The sequence below is a fragment of the Homo sapiens genome, chromosome 11, assembly GCF_000001405.40.
Source record: "Homo sapiens chromosome 11, GRCh38.p14 Primary Assembly".
Taxonomy (NCBI): Eukaryota; Metazoa; Chordata; class Mammalia; order Primates; family Hominidae; genus Homo; species Homo sapiens.
Window position 1 is genome coordinate 107,628,981 of NC_000011.10, and position 19,986 is coordinate 107,648,966.

General features: G+C 39.0%; 1 protein-coding gene and 1 pseudogene across 3 annotated transcripts in view; one reads left to right on the top strand and one right to left on the bottom strand.

The window, feature by feature from the left end:
- ELMOD1 (ELMO domain containing 1) overlaps window positions 1-19,986 on the top strand; it is a 75,633-nt gene that overhangs the window by 37,834 nt on the left and 17,813 nt on the right. For all 3 annotated transcript variants that reach the window (NM_001308018.2, NM_018712.4, NM_001130037.2), the window contains 5 exons: window positions 1,437-1,582; window positions 1,720-1,748; window positions 2,600-2,697; window positions 6,656-6,785; window positions 18,488-18,621. In NM_001308018.2, coding sequence (NP_001294947.1) covers window positions 1,438-1,582; window positions 1,720-1,748; window positions 2,600-2,697; window positions 6,656-6,785; window positions 18,488-18,621 — 536 coding nt within the window. In that variant the 5' untranslated portion in view covers window position 1,437. The remainder of the gene's footprint in view (window positions 1-1,436; window positions 1,583-1,719; window positions 1,749-2,599; window positions 2,698-6,655; window positions 6,786-18,487; window positions 18,622-19,986) is intronic.
- Window positions 14,377-14,885, bottom strand: LOC107984382 (MOB-like protein phocein; annotated as a pseudogene).

Consider the following 19,986-nt stretch of genomic DNA (forward strand, 5'->3'; position numbering starts at 1 on the left):
TAAACATATCATGGATATTTTCATGTTATTAGATATTCTAGGACATAATCTTGTTGCCTGCAAAGTATTCCATTATGTTATCTCAGTGCAGCAGCTTGGTTGTTTTGTATGGTTTCTTTCCATTTCCTTTGCATTTATAAGATATAAACTCCATGCCTTTGTGCAAATCAGACTGTTCGAGTTTTTATTTTTAACACAAGGCTGTTGAAGCTATTGGAACCAGAGCAATTTAAGGAAAGGAACACGGTCAAGGTTTTGATTCTTTTTCAGGGATGGATCACATTGTAGAGGCTACTAGTTAACTACTCCAGTATATCTGAGTGACCATGCATCACCTTATTTTAGAACTGGAAGGAATTAGTGAACTTTTGAGAATAAAGAAAAATCTTTTCCAGATGACAACAAAAGGAAGTAATATAAATAATTCTGCCTCCTGGGGATGTACAGTATAAAGAGAAAATAGGTTGACTATATAAGTTCCCGGATAATAAGTCCTCTTTACCACTAAAGCTTAAGTCATTTGAAATTCTGAACCGTACCATGAAATAGTAGGCACTCACATTTTTAAAATTAAAAGTCATCATAAAAGATGGACTTACATGGGCCACAGATGTGTGAATAAGCACATGACTGGTGACAATATAGTTCATCATTTGTTGCGGTATTGCTGGAGTGAGGTAGGGTGTACAGTAAAGAAAACTTTCTTTAGCAAGAGCCAAGAACAAACTTCTCAAGAGGAGTTTTTGAAACATTTAAATCACGGAAGGTCGTCACGTCTAGGAAAATCAAAGGTCAAGGGTGCTTGTTCAGTGAACTGATGAGAAGGGCTTCTGACAAGGCCAGGGAATGTTAGGATAGGTCAGCAGAAAAGGCAGGTGGCCACAACCAAGTCCTCAAGGAGGTCTGCAATGCCTAAGGGAAAGCAGAGGGAAAGAGGAAAGAATGGGAGCAAGGGAAGGAATCAAACAGTGGGATTGGTCGAGGGTGAGGAGGACACTAGGGAGGGGCTGAAAATGGACAAGGGCAAGCTGAGAGGCTGTTCATGGAGGCAAAAGAGGAGAGCATGTTCTTCCCCCACGTCAAAGGGAGGGCTGACTCCTAAAACACAAGCAGTATTAAAGGATTCTGTTTTCAAGGTACTCATTTACTTCCAAGATGGTTTTAGGCAAAGGAGGGAAAAGAAAAGATTCTAATGCTTCATCCTCAGTTTGTTGGAATATCAGATTTACTAGAATAGAAAATTCTGGAGTTTCTTACAGTCATAGTAAGTGTAGCTACTGCAAATAAAGTAGCATGGGACTAGAAACATATGTTAAGTATAAGGTGATTTTTCTAACCCCTGATTTTCTCCTGGGCTTCTTTTCTTGCTGGTGGTGGCTGCTTTCTCTTCTCTTCCAGAGTTCTATTGGAAGGGTGCTGTGTTTTGTTTTTCACAGAATGTTGATCCAGGTATGCCTGTATTTTTACTGTAAATTTCTGTGGCGCTGCCTGAAATTTGTAATGAGGAAGCTAACTGGAAGATGTGAACTACAACGGATCTGTTATAATACCAAGCCGGGAGCTTCTAGAACCATGAAAATCGGTAAGCCTGAGACAAAGAAGTAAGCAAAAGGTAGAGTTGGTATGATGGAAGATACGATGTTGTCTTTCAGTGTAGTAATTCTAAACCATGTGTAAAGGATAATCTTTGAATGACTGTTTTTGTTGCTGCTTTCACAGAAACATCACTGAGGGATTCTAAAAGTAAGGTAAGTAAAATTATTTTTCAGCAGCTTTTTTTTCACTTGGAAGCTTACCTTTATCATAAGAAGTAAAAATTCTAAGAAACCAAAATATACCACTGGCTAGGAAAACTACTGCCAACTGAGAAGAAATAATCATTTGCCCATTACAAACCACTGTACTATTTACATGAGAACAGCCACTGTATGTGAATTTCTAGGCAGTTTGTGAAGTACTTATTACTTCATTGTCAAATGAACCCTTTCTTATACCTCTTCCCAAATCATAAAATAAATATTCCTTGAACATAGTAACAGTATTAACTCCCTACTATTTCCTCAATATCCAAATCATTTTTAACATTATACTTAAGATTTTTCAATAACATCAAAGAAGCCACTATGCTAGCTTTTGTAGCATAGTGGAGCATCCATATAAGAAAGAAAACCTATTTTCTTTTTCAAGATTCTTGATAATTTTATCTTATTAATTTTGACATCCTGAAGACTATCTCCCTCATGTGCCTCACTCTTTAGTCATAAACATAATACCCCTTAACAATAGAAACTATGTTGGGCGAGGAAATGAAAATATTACATTTCAATATAGGTAGCTTGAAACAGGAAAATGGTAAGAACAAAACCAAAAAAATTGTATGTGTTTTCCTGATTAAAGTTATCAGGAAAATTGCACTACCCCCCCCCCCATCGTGAAAATGTCAAATTTATTAGAATTCAAGTACGCTAAATCAATTGTTGCTTTTAACTTAAGTCTTCATATAGAAGCTTAAGCAAATGTTTGAAGCCTCTATCCCAGTAGATACTGATTAAGCCTCTGGTGTTAATGAAAAGGAAAGTGATTAAAACATGTTTTCCAGCTGTTGCAGACTTCTGTGAGTGTTCACCCCGACGCTATTGAAAAAACTATAGAAGATATCATGGAACTGAAAAAAATTAATCCTGACGTAAATCCACAGTAAGAATATGTTTCTTATGTCAAAAATACAGAACACAAATCACATGGCCACAGGTTTAGTGTTTCTCTGTCTCCTCTCTTTTTTTTTCTCCCTCTCTCCCTAAAATAATCATCTGCCATGTTTTGACTTTCAGATGAGGAATAAAGAAAAAAAGTACCTTTTTCATGTTTGTAAATGGCAGCAACTTTGTACTTCCTTTGTGGCTTATGCTTCTCAGATGCAAAGAATGTAAGAAATGTGTTGAGTGCCCCGATAGAGAAAGATGAACCCATTCATCAACAATCACTCTATCTGATGCCTATGTTTTACGCTAACAGTAAATGTTCAAATTGTAAATGTGCTTAAGCTGATTCTGTTCCATCTAGAATAGTCCTTCACTTCCTTCATGAATATTACTTTATGACAGGCTGAGAATCTTGGAGACTGTTTCTACCTGCTTGTCAAGAAGACAGGCATGTGTGGGAAGGAGAAATGGTTTTTATATGAAGACTTTAGAACTTCATAATTTATTCCTCTCATCTTGGAAGTATTAAAATGCATTTGGCAATGTTCGTGACATTTAAAATTAGCTTTATATTTTCCACTGGGTACAGCAATTTTTCAGTAAAATTTTGCACTGAGGACACTGGGTAGAATAAATTCCAAATGCAGATATATTTAGAGAAGGTTTTAGGTTGGTAACAATCAAACTGTCTTTTAGATGTTCGTGTCTGAGAACTTTAGATGTTACCTTTGAGAAAGGCTTTTATTAATAATTACAGGAACTGTAGCTGAAGGGAATTTCAGAGCACACTTGCGTAGGTCTATCTCTTGGAAGGATTTTGGATACTAGCTATCTAGGGGCTCATCACAAAACCTCCATTTTTGCCTGGTCTCTATAGCGTTCTTTAGCAGCCGCTTCAGTTCATTAGCTGCCTTTTGCCTATTCAGCTACCAAAGGTTGATTTACTTATATAGTAAAGGTCTTTTTGAAACCTTCTAACATATATTTTATTCCTCTGGGAAGGTGATAAGAAGGCAGTTCATTATAAATAAGATTGAACGAAAAATTTAAGACTACAACTGGCAAGAGGGATATATGAGTCCTGTAATCATGTTTAGAGACTGGATTAGATTTAATAGCAAATCTTTTCTATGAAAGTTATATAAGGTGCATTCAAGAGCATTTCTTTGCCATCCATTCTCTTGTTCTCATTTTTTTAAAAGACCCTTTTAGGTTCAGGTTGAGGATCCCTAATCTGAAAATCCAAAATCTGAAACTTTTGGGCATTGACATCATGCCACAAATGGAAGATTCCATAGCTGACTTCATGTGACAGATTGCATCTATTATTAAAAATGTTGTATAAAATTACCTTCAGGCTATGTGTATAAGTTGTATATGAAACACAAATGAATTTCATGTTTAGACTTGTGTCCCATCCCCAAGGTATCTCATTATGTATATGCAACTATTCCAAAATCTGAAACACTTCTGGTCCCAAGCATGTCAGATAAGGGTTACTCAACCTGTAGTATTTTTTTTAAATCTCCATGTGGATTCTAGTGCCTTTTTTACAGAGCGACATTGATAAGCTCTGATATAAAAAAATTAAGTACTTTTCTGAGAAAACAAAGAAATAGCTTAGAGATGGGGGAAACACTTTATAACTTACCAAACTGTTACTACTATTAACCTCACTTGTTTTAATTACATTTTTTAAGTGCTGCTTATGGTGGCACTAAAAATTACGACAGAGAAAATTTATTTATTTATTTTAATCTTTTTTTTGAGACAAGAGTCTTGCTCTGTCACCCAGGCTGGAGTGCAATGGCGCAGTCTAGGCTCACTGCAACCTCCACCTCCCGGGTTCAAGCGATTCTCCTGCCTCAGCCTCCCAAGTAGCTGGGACTACAGGCACGTGCCACCACATCTGGCTAATTTTTGTATTTTTAGTAAAGATGGGGTTTTACCGTGTTGGCCAGGCTGGTCTCAAACCCCTGACCTCGTGATCTGCCCGCCTCTGCCTCCCAAAGTGCTGAGATTACAGGCGTAAGACACCGCACCCGGCCAGAGAAAATTTAATTGACTTTCCTTATTTCTGCCTCTTATATTCCGTCCATTCTCCTCTTTCCCTCAAAATTAACGCTATTCTCCATACTACATGGACTTTCTAGGTGGCTAGTGCTATGGTGCCCTTTCCTAAATTTTAATATCTGGCCTAGTTGTTTGGTGCTATGGTAACAAGTAATGATGAAAGTCATTCACTGAATATGACTTTATTAAAGTTCAGTATTCCTAGGCTGTCTGACTGTCCTGTACGTTTGGAGCAGGTACACAGTTCTAAGTTCTGTTGCCCTCAACTTGAGATTTAACATCTGTGCATGTCATTTACCCCTAAAAAAAAATATGATGATGTACAGTGATTATAATGACCACCACCACACCACCTCAAACATGCTCAAAGTCCATGAGTGAACAAGACAAAAGACTAGATTGGAGAGTATCATATGCAATTGCCAATGTTCAGCCATTTTTGAGCCACAGAAAATACATGACTCTAAAGAATTTAGGAGGAAAAAATAAACGTGAAGTGCTACTTTTAGACCTTTAGATTCTACATTACTTTAGAGGCTGTAGAAAGGGAAAACAGCATTCCAGTCACAGAAAGTAATGATCCTCTGTGTGTTACAGTTGCCAGATTGTTTTCTGTTCTAGTGATATGCTTTTAGGGTACTGTTATTCAAATAGTGTACATTCGGAGAGGACTGAGAACGATCATAAAACATCTGAAAACCGGCTGGGCGCAGTGGCTCATGCCTGTAATCCCAGCACTTTGGGAGGCAGAGGGAGGCAGATCACCTGAGGTCAGGAGTTCGAGACCAGCCTGGCCACACATGGCAAAACTCCATCTCTATTAAAAAATATAAAAATTAACTAGATGTAGTGCTGGGCACCTGTAATCTCAGCTATTCGGGAGGCTAGGGCAGGAGAATCACTAGAAATCAGGAGGCGGAGGTTGCAGTGAGCCAAGATTGTACCACTGCACTCCAGCCTGGGTAACAGAGCAAGACTCTGTCTCAAAACATAAAAAATAAAAATAAAATAAAACATCTGAAATAAGATGTCCCATGAGAGGGAAATGAAGAAATAAGATTTCTCTTTTCCCTAGAGATTAGAAGACTCGCTATCTTAAATAGTCATGGCACTGGAAAGGTGGAAATAAATTTGCTCAGAGAACGGAATTGGAACCACTTTGTAATAAGCAAAGCAGATTTTGTTTCAGCATAAGAAAAAGTGTTCAGACAACTACAGCGGTCAGAATGTAATAGAACATCTTGTAAAGTTGTAACTACCCTCTTAGCACTGTCTCCCCTGAGGAGGACACTCCTAAGTGGAGGTGGTGTTGTTATTGTTATTTTGTTTCACTTCATTTTGTTTTGATTTTTTTCCTTGAAGCCCTTAAGGGCTTTTTCTGTTGTCCTCATCCTCATTCTCTTCCACACATCTTTCTAAGGTAATTCTGATATGACCACCTGGGGGGTGCTATATAATCCCTAAGAGCCCAGTATTACCTATAATTTCAAGTAACCTGCATAAAGAAATCCCTTGTGGGTTTTGGTTTTGTTTTGTTTTGGTAGAGATAGGATCTTGCTTTGTTGCCCAGGCTGGTTTTGTACTCCTGGCTTCAAGCAATCCTCCCATCTTGGCCTCAGAAATCCCTTATTTTTAAGTCATACCATTGCCATTTAGCTTTAGAAAAAGTCAGACTTCGAGGCAAATTTTAGCCAGGTTCTACAGTTGTCCATGTGGAGATTTAATAAGAATTGTGCTTCTATTAAATAGATCATCTTTGAGCAATTTCCTGAATATTATATTAATATGAAAAGTTCTATCATGCATACATCAAGTGAACAAATGCCAAAGTGAATGCCCTGTTCTTCCTTGTGTGTCTCTTCTGTTTTTGAACACCCTAGGCTGGGAATCTCTCTTCAGGCTTGCCTTCTGCAAATCGTTGGGTACAGGAACCTTATTGCAGATGTGGAAAAACTGCGTAGAGAGGCCTATGATTCTGATAATCCCCAACATGAAGAAATGCTTTTGAAGGTTAGTGCTTGAACACATTTCGGTTCTTCCTCTAAGTCAGCTGACATTTGCCAGGCACCTGCTATGTGCTAGGCGCTGCTCTGGACATCAGGGGTACAAAGATGGATCAGACACGGGCACCTAACTGGTTGGTAAGGTCAAGTTTTCTCGCTGGTTCAGGTGTTGGAAGTAAATTTTTCATCAGAAAATTCCTGTGAGAAGTTAAGTTCAAAGCCAATTTTCTTTTGTAATCTGAGAAAACGTCAGAGGTGATTTCTGTGGGCTCTCACATTTGGCTTAAGTTTAGTTTGTTTAACAAGTGTTGAAAGCCAACAGGAGAAATAGCATTTGTCAAAGAGTGACTTGGGATTCCCATTTACGACTTTTAATACACATCAGAGAAGATAAAGTTGGTTTCTGCTTCAGCAATGGCCCTCTTGGGAAATTACCCAAGATCTTAATGCTGATTATTTATGCATGTAACTTAGTATTAGAAGAGGTAAAGGTTTATATTTGGCACACTAGAACTTCTGGAGAAATAATGTGGAGTTATGAATACTCCTGGCTGTCAAAGCAAAACCTTAAAAATCTTACAGGATCTGATGGTATATTAAGAAACATCAGTAAAACTTTCCCTCAAAACACTTGAGTTTGGGGCTAAAGAAATTAAGACCCCACAATAATTAAGACTACCCTTTAGAACTACATACTTACCTGAAATGTTTTATAAATTCATTTCTGAAAATAGATGCTTCTTTAGAATTAGAGTGCTTTAGGGTATCTCCCTGCCTTTTCCTAGAATTCATAAAGGCAGTAACAAAATTGTAAGAAAACATTTGTTTAGCTGCCTTTATTTTATTGAAAAATGTCAACAGAAGGCGTAATTTCAAAAATGTATCCTGTTGTGTTTTTGTGTGAAGGAGTGTATGTTTTTGTGTATGTAAGTACTTAAGCAGATGACTCATTTGTCTCTATTAATTAGTGCTGGATCTGATGTGAATCATTAAAAATTAAAGATGCCTCATTCTTGGCAGTAGTTTTTCTTCCTTTTCTCCCTGCTGAAGTTTAGCTAACCTGCTGAATTTTATCTCTTTTATATTGTCTTTTTTTTTCTGGCCATTTTCTGATGGAGGTAGTTCAACAAAATTACCCAAACATAGGAAATAAGAGGTGACAGAGAAAAGAGGTGTTGTAATTAACAGATAGTCACAAGAGCCTGAACAATGTATTAGAATAGCTGAGGTTCCCTCAGAATGAGTGACATCCAGGTGCCTGCTAGGCACCATCTTTAGCTGATCCATTGTATATGTGCTGGCACATAATGGGTTTTCAACAAATATAAGTGAATGCACGAATTATTATAGTTCATTAGCTACATCTCGAGAACTTGTATATGACTTTTATCTGTGGTTATGATTAGATTATCTGTTATCATTTAAACTGTCAGCTATATGAGATAGATAAGGAAATGATGGCTATCTTTATTTTACAGATGAGAAAACTATAAGCATTTTAGCTCAGGTTCTGATTCACACATCTAGTAAATTATAAAGTCAGGGCTGTTCATTACTGCATTAGGTACTTTGGGGAAAGGCATCATTTCTGCCCTCAAGCAGCTTACAATCCAATTGGGGCATATTGTTCACCTTCAAAAATCACTAAATCTGGCCAGGTGTGGTGGCTCATGCCTGTAATCCCAGCACTTTGGGAGGCTGAGGCGGGTGGATCACTTGAGGTCAGGAGTTCAAGACCAGCCTGGCCAACATGGTGAAACCCTGTCTCTACTAAAAATACAAAAATTAGCCAGGCATAGTAGCAGATGCCTGTAATCCCAGGTACTCGGGAGGCTGAGGCAGGAGAATTGCTTGAACCCAGGAGGCGGAGGTTGCAATGAGCCTAGATCGCACCACTGCACTCCAGCCTGGGTGACAAAGCAAGACTCCATCTCAAAACAAACAAACCAAAAAAAAAAAAATCACTAAATCTTATCCATACAGCACCCTAAGGTATCTTTGAAATGTTTTCCATGCCCAATGCCTTATTCTAGCCATCATCTCCAACTTGGGCTGTGCCAGGCTTTTAATTATGGCAGCAACCATTAGATTCTTCTCTCACATCATCTAAAATACTGTTGGAGGGATTTTTTTTTCCTCAAAACACAGATATATTCATTGTCATTCCCTAGACTAGAAACTTCAGGCTATGTCCTATAGTAGAAAGCCCACGCATCTTAGCATGGCATTTTGGAGGCTTTCCAGTGTATTTCATGAAGCTACAGCTCCTGTATCCTCATCACATATAGTACATTTCTGCCATGCTCTGCCATTCACCGTGACCCAGAATAAGTCGTGCCATACCATACGCCCAGGAATTTGTTCATGCTATTCCCTCTGTTACCCATTATTCTCACTGCAGAAGCCGGCTCGTTTTTTAAATCCTTACTCACTGAATTTTGAAATCTTCACTAGCTCCCCAAGCAAACTTAGGAGTGGGAATCTTTGTTCTCTTCTTCAGTTTGTTCAAGTTTCAAGTACGATGATAAAATCAGAAATAATAAAACATTAATGGAGTGTTTAGTATGTGCCAATTGTTACAGTCAGTGTTTTCTGGCATTATTTCATTTCATTATCACAGTAGCCTTGTGGTGATACACTGCTGTTGTCTTCATTTTTCAGATGAGGAAACTGAAGCTGAGCAGTGAAGTGGCTATGTGAGCTCACATAGGGTGGTAGCTAAGGGCTCTGAGCTACCACACTGCACTAGGTCTTGAGAAACAAACCACATCTTGTTCACATTTGTCTTTCCAGGGCTGACCCATGGTTTGTGTTTCACTGCCTGAGCTTAAGCTTCTTCATCTTTAAAATGGGTAATAATACCCTTGTTACCTACTTCACAGAACTGTTTAGAGCAAAAGTCAGCAAACCAAGGCCTGCAAACCAAATTTGGCATACCACCCATTTTACAAGTAATATTTGCAGTACAGCCACATGCATTTGTGTATGGTGTTTACGGCTGCTATGGCTGCTATCCTAGTTTAAAGGCAAAGTTAAGTACTTAGAAGAGAGACCGTACAGCTCATAAAGCCTAAAATATTTGTCAACTGGTTTTTACAAAGTTTGTGCCCAGGCACAGTGGCTCACACCTGTAATCCCAGCACTCTGGGAAGCTGAGGCAGGAGGATCACTTGAGCCCAGGAGTTCAAGACCAGCCTGAGCAACATAGCAAGACCCCATCTCCACAAAAAATTTTTTAATAAATAGCTGGGCATGGTGATGTGCACCTGTAGTACCAGTTACTTGGGAGGCTGAGGCAGGAGGATCACTTGTGCCCAGGAAGTCAAGGCTACAGTGAGCTATGGTTGTACCACTGTACTTAGCCTGGGCAATAGAGTGTGACCTTTCTAAAAAATAATAATAATAATAATAATTAAATTAAGTTAAATGTAAAAGCGTGTTTGCTGATCCCTAGTTTCTAAGCACAGGTCATATATAGTATTGCCACATGTTTAAGTGCTTGGCTTTTTAAGCATAGGAGAGCATTATCAGTGTTACTAGAGTTCTGAAGTATTTTAAAAATCTAGATTTTGTGATCATTTGAACATAGCCTGGGATGAAATTGAATAATATCACTGTCCATATGAATCACTTATATAGACATTTCTATTAAAAGTATTCCAACCAAATTCATAATGAAGACAAAATTCTAGGTGGATTCATGCACTTAATGAAAAACATAAAGTCCAGAATAAAGACCCTCTCCTGATGGAAAGAGACAATCCCATGATGACCTTGGTGAGAAGCTGCTTCTCCTTGAATGCTCTGGCTCGAGGGCAGATGAATCGCCTTCCCTTTCTGTCCTGCAGAGGGTTCGAGACCAGGCAGAAGTGTTCAAATAAACTTGTGTAAAGCTTCAGTTCACAGTGAAGAGAGTTCAGCAGAGAGAGCAGGCTGTGATGGATAACAGTCTGACTCAGAGTGCAGTCTCCACATCTGTTTCTTGTCTTCTGCTAATCACTTTTCCTAGCCCCTGGTCTCCTCCACTTCGCAGGTGGCTTTGTAGTAACTACTCCCAGTAGCACAGTCTTAGATGAGTGGATTCCTTAGAGTCCCCACCATAAGCCCACCACCATTTCTCAGATCTGAAGTTGGCTTCCTAGTGCATGACCTCATCCTTCAGGAGCACCCCATTCCCTACTCTTATTTTTTCAGGGAAGAGCTTACCTATTGGAAGAGAATCGAAATAGCTCAAGGCTATTTTATTTTATGCATATTTATTTTGAGACAGGGTCTCACTCTGTCACGCAGGCTGGAGTGCAGTGGTGCAATCTTGGCTCACCACAACCTCCACCTCCCAGGTTCAAGCAATTCTCCAGCCTCAGCCTCCTGAGTAGCTGGGATTACAGGCATGAGCCACAGCGCCTGGCTCAAGGTTTTTTTTAAATAGGAAATATACAGATAATTGTACTTCATATAAGTATTTTAGCATAATGGGCTTTCATCTTCCAAAATAAGTTTGACAATTTTATTTGCTACGTATAGTTATTAACCTACTGGTTTAGCCTTTCAATATTTAGCAAGTTTGTTTTAAAAATTACTATTCCCATTGGTTTACAATACCATTAATATAAATGCATAATTTCGAAGTCAACATTCATTTCACTGTGGACATAAGAATTCTTAAGGGGTACAATAATGACTGTGGCTGCTGGGCACTGTTCAAAGCCAAAATGACTGGCAGGCTTGGAAAGGCATAAACTATTTATACATACCCTCGGTATACTACGAGTCCCACATTTTTGCTGTACATTCTTGTCTCATAATACAGTATAAATTATTCCCTAAGTCTGAAAAAAAAATTAAGTTGAATACATTTTTGTCTTAATTTCAAAATAACCTTTTTAATGAAAAAGAAGTTCCTCATGTTAAATCTGTTCAAAAGAAGGATTTAAATACTTTGGTCACAACATGTACAATTTTTTGACCCTGAGTGCCCCATTAAAATCAGTTTAGCAATAAAACCTTCTGTGCTTTATCAAAAACAGCATTCAATAGATTATAAAATTATTCAATCTGCATTTGAATCATTATTAGGACACTGAATTATAACAAAGTCCAGCAAATGTATGACCATTCATCAACACCCTTAAAACCTGTGAATTATAGCAATTAATCTCATGTGTGCATATAATTCAAACATAAACTTTGTGGAGAGGGGATATAACATAAATACTACAATATTTCTTCAGTCCTATTTAATGCTGCCTAGATGGTTAGATGAAAAGGTTAATATTTCTAACAGGCACTTTGGGAAGCCGAGGAAGGTGGATCACCTGAGGCCAGGCATTCGAGACCAGCCTGGCCAACATGGTGAAACACCGTCTCTACCAAAAATACAAAAATTAGCCAGGCGTGGTGGTGCACACCTGTAGTCCCAGCTACTCAGGAGGCTGAGGCACTAGAATCACTTGAGCCTGGGAGGCAGAGGTTGCAGTGAACCGAGATCATGCCACCGCACTCCTACCTGGGTGACAGAGAAAGACTCTGTCTCAAAAAAGAAAAAAGAAAAAAAATAAGTATATATATATATATATCTCTAACAGGAAGAATCAAACTAGTTTAATAACTTGTTTTCTAAGTAGTTACCACAATTTAGTAAAACCAAGATATGCCAGAACCTATGCCAATACATTTTTCCTATAGTGTAATGTAATTGCTAATATGAGGTATAATCTGTAAGCAATTAATACAAATATAAACAGGCATAAGCCACCATGAAATCACAGTCTGGTGAAAGCTTTTCAGCTAAACTAGTTGGAGAAGAGAGTTAAGGGAAATGAGAAAAGGCAGACAGGGCAGGCTTCCAGTGGGAACATCATTTACATGCCTTATCATCATCCTCTCATATGTAACAGTCCACTGGTGCAGGAAGGTAAATCCTGTCCAAGTATGCTAGCCTAGAATATACTTTATGTAGCATAGTAAGATTATTTAAGTATTACTAATGCTTCATTTGCACTTATATTTAGATTATACATAATCCTATATGCATATTAAAAACTCATTTCCCAAAATGAGATAAAAACATTTCAGGTAAGATGGAACTATGTACTACAGAACTTACAATATCTAAACTCAGAGGTAAAATCAAAGGAAAACATTACTACCTTTTTAGTAAATGGATTGTATGAGCTTACTCTTTTTTTTTTTTTTTTTTTTTTTTAGATGGAGTCTCACTCTGTCACCCAGGCTGGAGTGCAGTGGTGCCATCTCAGCTCACTGCAACCTCTGCCTCCCGGGTTCAAGCAATTCTCTGCCTCAGCCTCCCAAGTAGCTGGGATTACAGGCACCTGCCACCATGCCCGGCTAATTTTTGTATTTTGAGTAGAGACAGGGTTTCACCATCTTAGCCAGGCTGATCTTGAACTCCTGACCTCATGATCCACCTGCCTTGGCCTCCCAAAGTGCTGGGATTACAGGCCTGAGCCACCGCACGTGGCCCCTCACTCATTTTTTAATAGATGGGTTTGTCTGATGAGGATTATAATCCAATATTTGGTTAGCAGCAATTTTACCAAACTGTAAGTTCTTTTATTAACAGACATTATAAACAGATAATACTAATCTTATTTACTTATTTATTTTTGAGATGGAGTCTCACTCTGTCACCCAGGCTGGAGTGCAGTGGCACGATCTCGGCTCACTGCAACCTCCACCTCCCAGGTTCAATCAATTCTCTGCCTCAGCCTCCCAAGTAGCTGGGATTACAGGCACCCGCCACCACACCCAGCTAATTTTTTTTGTATTTTTAGTAGAGACGGGGTTTCACCGTCTTGGCCAGGCTGGTCTTCAACTCCCGACCTCGTGATCCACCTCAGCCTCCCAAAGTGCTGAGATTACAGGTGTGAGCCACCGCGCCCAGCAATACTAATCTTATTTAAAAATAATGAGTGCCACACTGGTGAATATACAGCTTATGAATAACTTTAAAAAATTTTCCCATTATAAAAGGCAAACACAGCAGACAACTATACTAAACGAAGAAGCTAGAATACAGATACATGATTGATGGGTCTAAAATGATACATACCGTACATAATTAATGTTAATCATGTGATCGTTATATTTTTCTTTGTGATTCCCCTTCATGCTACTTTCTCCAGAAACTGAATTCTGAACTTCCTCTTCTAAAGTTGGTACAATCAGGTTATCCTTGGACATCAAATTTTCTTTTATCACAAACTTAGTGATACAAAATGACACAAAAATGTTTCGTTTTCATATTCATCCAATATCTGGAGTAATAAAAAGAAGCATGTGGCCAGGCACAGTGGCTCACGCCTGTAATCCCAGCAATTTGGGAGGCCGAGACCAGCAGATCACTTGAGGTCAGGAGTTCGAGACCAGCCTGGCCAACATGGTGAAACCCCATCCTGACCAACATGGTGAAACCTCATCTCTACTAAAAACACAAAAATTAGCTGGGCATTGTGGCTGGCACCTGTAATCCCAGCTACTCAGGAGGCTGAGGAAGGAGAATCGCTTTAACCCGGGAAGCAGAAGTTGCAGTGAGCTGAGATCACACCAGTGCACTCCAGCCTGGGTGACAGAATGAGACTCCATCTAGGAAAAAAAAAAAAAAAAAGCATGTGAAAATATTCTGGAAATCTTAAAGTATGCTGGTCCAAGTTTTGCTATAGATGATTCCTTTATACTAACCCTGCTGGGGAAATAGTTACTGCTTTTCAGAAGACACAGCACCATCAAGTCTGTGTCTAGTATAGTCTGTAGTAGAACACTCTTGGAGTTTTATGAGCCACACAAAGAAAACTCCATTGTTCAGTTGCTGTCATTTGAGTACAAGTATCTGGACGGCATTCAGTCTGAAGTTTGACAGCAAGTCCATTTAGCTCAAGGCAGAATTACCTTAAATGTTCATACTTCCATATACCTGCATCTTGGCCTTCAGGTGGCTCAAGATTTTTGTCAGTATTGGAGCAATCTTGACTCTTATGTTCTGTTGCGTATACTGCTGAACAGCTAGCGTACTGTCCATTTCATCAAAAGAATCGTCAGGCCAGGTGCCCAGCCTGGTCCACCTCAGCATTGCCATGCCCTCTGCCATCACCACAGTGCCATCATCTGAAGATTAACAACTTAATTAAGAACACTTTTTAGCCATTTGTCTAGCCTTTCATGATCCATAAAATTATTAAAATGAAATTTCTTTTTAAAGCATTTTATTATTCAGGCCAGGCACGGTGGGTCATATCTGTAATCCTAGAACTTTGGGAGGCCGAGGCAGGTGGATCACTTGAGGTCAGGAGTTTGACACCAGCCTGGCCAACATGGCGAAACCCTGTCTCTACTAAAAAATAAAATAAAATAAAATAAAAAATACGAAAATGAGCTGGGCATGGTGGTACACACCTGTAGTCCCAGCTACTTGGGAGGCTGAGGCACAAGAATCCCTTGTACCCAGGAAGCAGAGGTTGCAGTGAGCTGAGATCATGCCACTACACTCCAGCCTGGGCGGCAGAGTGAGACCCTGTCTCCAAAGAAAAAAAAAAAAAGCATTTTATTATTCAAATGTTTTACTAAGCATTTAATAAGCATCCCACGCTATAAGCATTCACCCAATGAGTAAGGTTTGTCACCCACCTACGGAAATGAAGCGCCTGCTTTTGCCATCTTGCTGCACTCACTCGATGAAACAAGATATATATATATATACTTTTTTTTCTTTTTTTTTGAGACAGAGTCTCGCTCTGTAGCCCAGGCTGGACTGCAGTGGCACGATCTCGGCTCACTGGAGGCTCCGCCTCCCGGGTTCACGCCATTCTCCTGCCTCAGCCTCCCGAGTAGCTGGGACTACAGGCGCCTGCCACCACGCCCGGCTTATTTTTTGTATTTTTAGTAGAGACGGGGTTTTACCGTGTTAGCCAGGATGGTCTCGATCTCCTGACCTCGTGATCCGCCCGCCTCGGCCTCCCAAAGTGCTGGGATTACAGGCGTAAGCCACCGCACCCAGCCAAAACAATATATTTTTTAGTTGTGCAGGGCCCTGAGATGACTTCACATTATTATTCAAATGAATGTGACGAACTTTACATTTTTTTTCCCTTTTTTCCCTTCATTGTGTCAGTCACCAAATCAGTTCCTAAAGGGTTTTTGTTTTTGTTTTTGTTTTTGTTTTTGTTTTTGATAGACTCTCACTCTGTCGCCCGGGCTGGAGTGCAGTGGCGCGATCTCGGCTCACTGCAAGCTCCGCCTCTGGGTTCAAGCCATTCTCCTGCTTCAGCCTCCCGAATAGCTGGGACTACAGGCGCCCACCACCATGCCTGGCTAATTTTTTTTTTTTTTTTTTTTTGTATTATTTGTAGAGACGGAGTTTCACCGCGTTAACCAGGATGGTCTCGATCTCCTGACCTCGTGATCCACCCGCCTCTACCTCCCAAAGTGCTAGGATCACAGGCGTGAGCCACCGTGCCCGGCCCTCTAAAGGATTTTTTAAAATAAACTTTTCCCCAATGACGATCACCTGGTCTCATTTAGTCTTTTCTGATGTTCTCAGTTTCTGGTTTTTGTTTTTTGTTTTTTTTAGACGGAGTTTTGCTCTTGTGCCCAGGCAGGAGTGCAGTAGTGCTATCTCGACTCACTGCAAGCTCCGCCTCCTGGGTTCAAGCAATTCTCCTGCCTCAGCCTCCCAAGTAGTTGGGATTATAGGCGCGGGCCACCACGCCCGGCTAATTTTTTGTATGTTTAGTAGGGATGGGGTTTCACTATCTTGGCCAGGCTGGTCTCGAACTCCTGACCTGAAGTTACCCACCTTTCCTGGCTTCCCAAAGTGCTGGGATTACAGGCATGAGCCACCGCGCCCGGCCAGTTTGTGTTTTGATGAATGCAGGGCACTGGCACATTCTTATATGAATTCTTTAAAAAGAGATTTTGTATATTCATGCTTGATATTTTGCTTTCAAGCATGAGAGATCTACCTCCTATCTTTTTACCCTTTTTCTCTCGCCCTTTAGACAAATGAAATTTACCTGTTGTGGCACTAACATAAAATATTGTATAATGTGAATAGTAAGTAGTATTAGCTTAATGTATAAAATAACATTAGTAAAATGAATAACAGCTTTTATTAGTATTTTCTGTCATTGAATATTATGTTTTACACTGTGTCAGGTATGTGACAATTTGATTTAGCAAGGTATTTTGTGTATTACTGTTTCATTTAAGCTTTGTAATGTAGAATAAGCAATTTAGAAATTGAATTATTTCTGAAATAGTAGTAAGGAAATTTTACATTTGTGTTTATACCCTGTCGGTAATGAAGATAGAAGTCTAAATAGTAAACTTGTTTACATGCCCATCTCTATTAGAAAAAACTAAGAGTCTGAGCATTACATATTTATACAATTATGGGTCTCAGCGTCTCTCTCAAGTAATGATATGTGCTGAATCTTTCTACAGAAAACTAAAAAATAGAACCAGCTTATTAAGCAGTAAAGAGTATAATGCTTAAAATTTACAATTGTGCAGTAATGTATTAATAAAATTGATTTTAATTGACATTACTTTTGGTAACTCTTAAAGATAATAATACATTTTGAGGTTTATTCATGAACATTACTGATATTCCTTCCTCCAGCTACATGATAATGTTTACTCTCACTCCTGTTATAGGTGAGACCTAAAAAATGAAACTTGGCCGGGTGTGGTGGCTCACACCTGTAATCCCAGCACTTTGGGAGGCCGAGGCAGGCAGATCACTGGAGTTCAGGAGTTTGAGACAAGCCTGGCCGATGTGGTAAAACCCCGCCTCTACTAAAAATACAAAAATCAGCCAGGTGTGGTGGTGCATGCCTGTAATCCCAGCTACTCCAGAGACGGAGGCAGGAGAATCACTTGAACCCAGGAGGTGGAGGTTGCAGTGAGCCGAAATCAGGCCACAGCACTCCAGCCTGGGCAACAGAGTAAGAGTCCGTCTCCAAAAAAAAGCAAAAAGAAACTCATGTCAGTTCACTTTTTTTTTTTTTTGGTTAATAATGCTGCTAAAAGTTTTGATATAACATTAAAGCATTTTCCCAGAATCTGAATAATAGGTGGTCTTGAAATTTTTCCTCTTCTCTCTTTTCTTTATACTCTTAAATATTTTTGAGCGCACCAAAGAGCTTTTTTGTGGGAGATTATCTATCTAATCTATCTATCTATCTATCTATCTATCTATCTATCTATCTATCTACCTATCTACCTACCATCTAATTTCCTATTCAAAATTAAAATAGACTTTAAACATTAAAATATATAAGTACTCAATCCATTGCCTTCAGAGCAAAGATATCACAACACATTATGCATCCTTTGGAAAATTCAGCTGTGTACTCATGAGACAATGAGAGCGAAAAGGCAAATAACCTCTTCTTTTATTATGAAATGGTTGTTTTTTGGTTTTGTTTTTATCTCTCAGACCTTCTGGAAAGGTCCTGGGAACCTCCTGGGAGGCTTCAGTTCATACTTTGAGAAATGCTGTCATAAATAATTGAAAGATGATCACATCTTTTTTTTTTCTCTCTTTCATTGTCATAGATGATCACATCTTTAATTGTAATGTATATGCATACATTCAGCTTTGCAAAGCTCCTCCTAATAATGTAGTTTACAAAATCTGAACCAATAGGAAAGGGTGTATCAACAGAGTAATCCTTTTTTTTTTTCCTACAGTTATGGAAATTCTTGAAGCCCAATACTCCACTGGAATCTCGGATTTCTAAGCAGTGGTGTGAAATTGGTTTCCAAGGTGATGATCCTAAAACAGACTTTCGAGGAATGGGACTTCTGGGACTGTACAATTTGCAGTAAGTAAAATGAAGGACAGCTAAGTGTTCGAGTGATGTTTTGGTCTCCTCATACTGAAATGGCAAAAGTTGAGTAATTAGCTTCAAAAGGTACTTCCCATAAGACTCAAAGAAAACATTCAAGTCCCCTGAGAGGTCAGGTTCATAAAATGTTAAAAGTGTCTGCTACCTTCCTTGTATTTCAGCAAACTTCAGGGATTTTTAAAGCAAATCTCAAATATATTTAAAAAATTGTTTTATTATTGAAAATTTTCACACATATGTAAAAACAGAGAAGATTGTAAAGAACACCCTTGTATTGATCATCCAGATTCAGTAATTGTTGAGGTTTTGAAATATTCACAACATTATTTTTTTGGCAGAAGGGTGTTAATGAAAAATTCTACACCATCATTTCACCCTTCATATTTTAATATGTAGTTCTAAAAAAATATAAATATTACCTCACATTCACCACAATGCCATTATCACAGCAAACACAATTAACAATGATTCCTTGGCGTCATCTTTATCCAGTCCATATTCAAATTTCCCAGTTCTCTCTAAAATACTTTTTACGGCTGGTTTGTCCTAGTGCACTTCCATGTAAGATCTACACATTGCACTTAGTTACATTGCCCTTTGGTCTTCTTAAATTAGATCAGTCTCTCTTGCTCTCTCCCTTCCTTTTGCCCCCTCCTCCATGTCATTACCTTCAAGATTTCAGAACAGTTGTCCTGTAATATGTCCCATGGTCTGGATTTGTCTGTTTGCACTTGTATCCGTCCCCTGTATTTCCTGAAAATTGGAGGTATGCAGGCAGGCCTGAAGAGATTCAGATTGACATCACAGCGGGAGGCCTTCAGTGTCCCTCCACTCTCAGCCCTGTGCTGCAACGAATCAGAGGGATCCCAGCCTGATGCCTCCAGTGTAAAGTCCACCATCAGCCTTTCTTCCTTCTATGATCTTTACTGAACCAATTAATTAATTGTATAAAGAGTACTTTTCTATTTCTGTTATTTTTCCTATAATTGTTAGCTGGAATTTTTAAAGACTTGGTTTCCTTGTAGAGTACAGTTATTTGGTTTCTCTGAAATATAGGCAGGACAGATATTCAATTTTTGTATTTGCTTGCCAATTCTCAGAGTCAGGAGTTAGTAGCCTGGTTCCCTTGTTAGTGTCAATTTTTTTTTTTTGCTCTATTTTTAAAACACCACTTGTTAACTCCTGTGTTTTTATATGTTTATTGTAACTCAGCTAATTGTACTTGTTATTTTTTTCATGCTTTAATTCAGTCATGTGTAGTCATTATTTTTTGAGTCAAAGGGTCCTTTCAAGTTGGTTCTTGTGTCCTTTGACACTACCCTATTAGGGCAGTGATATTAT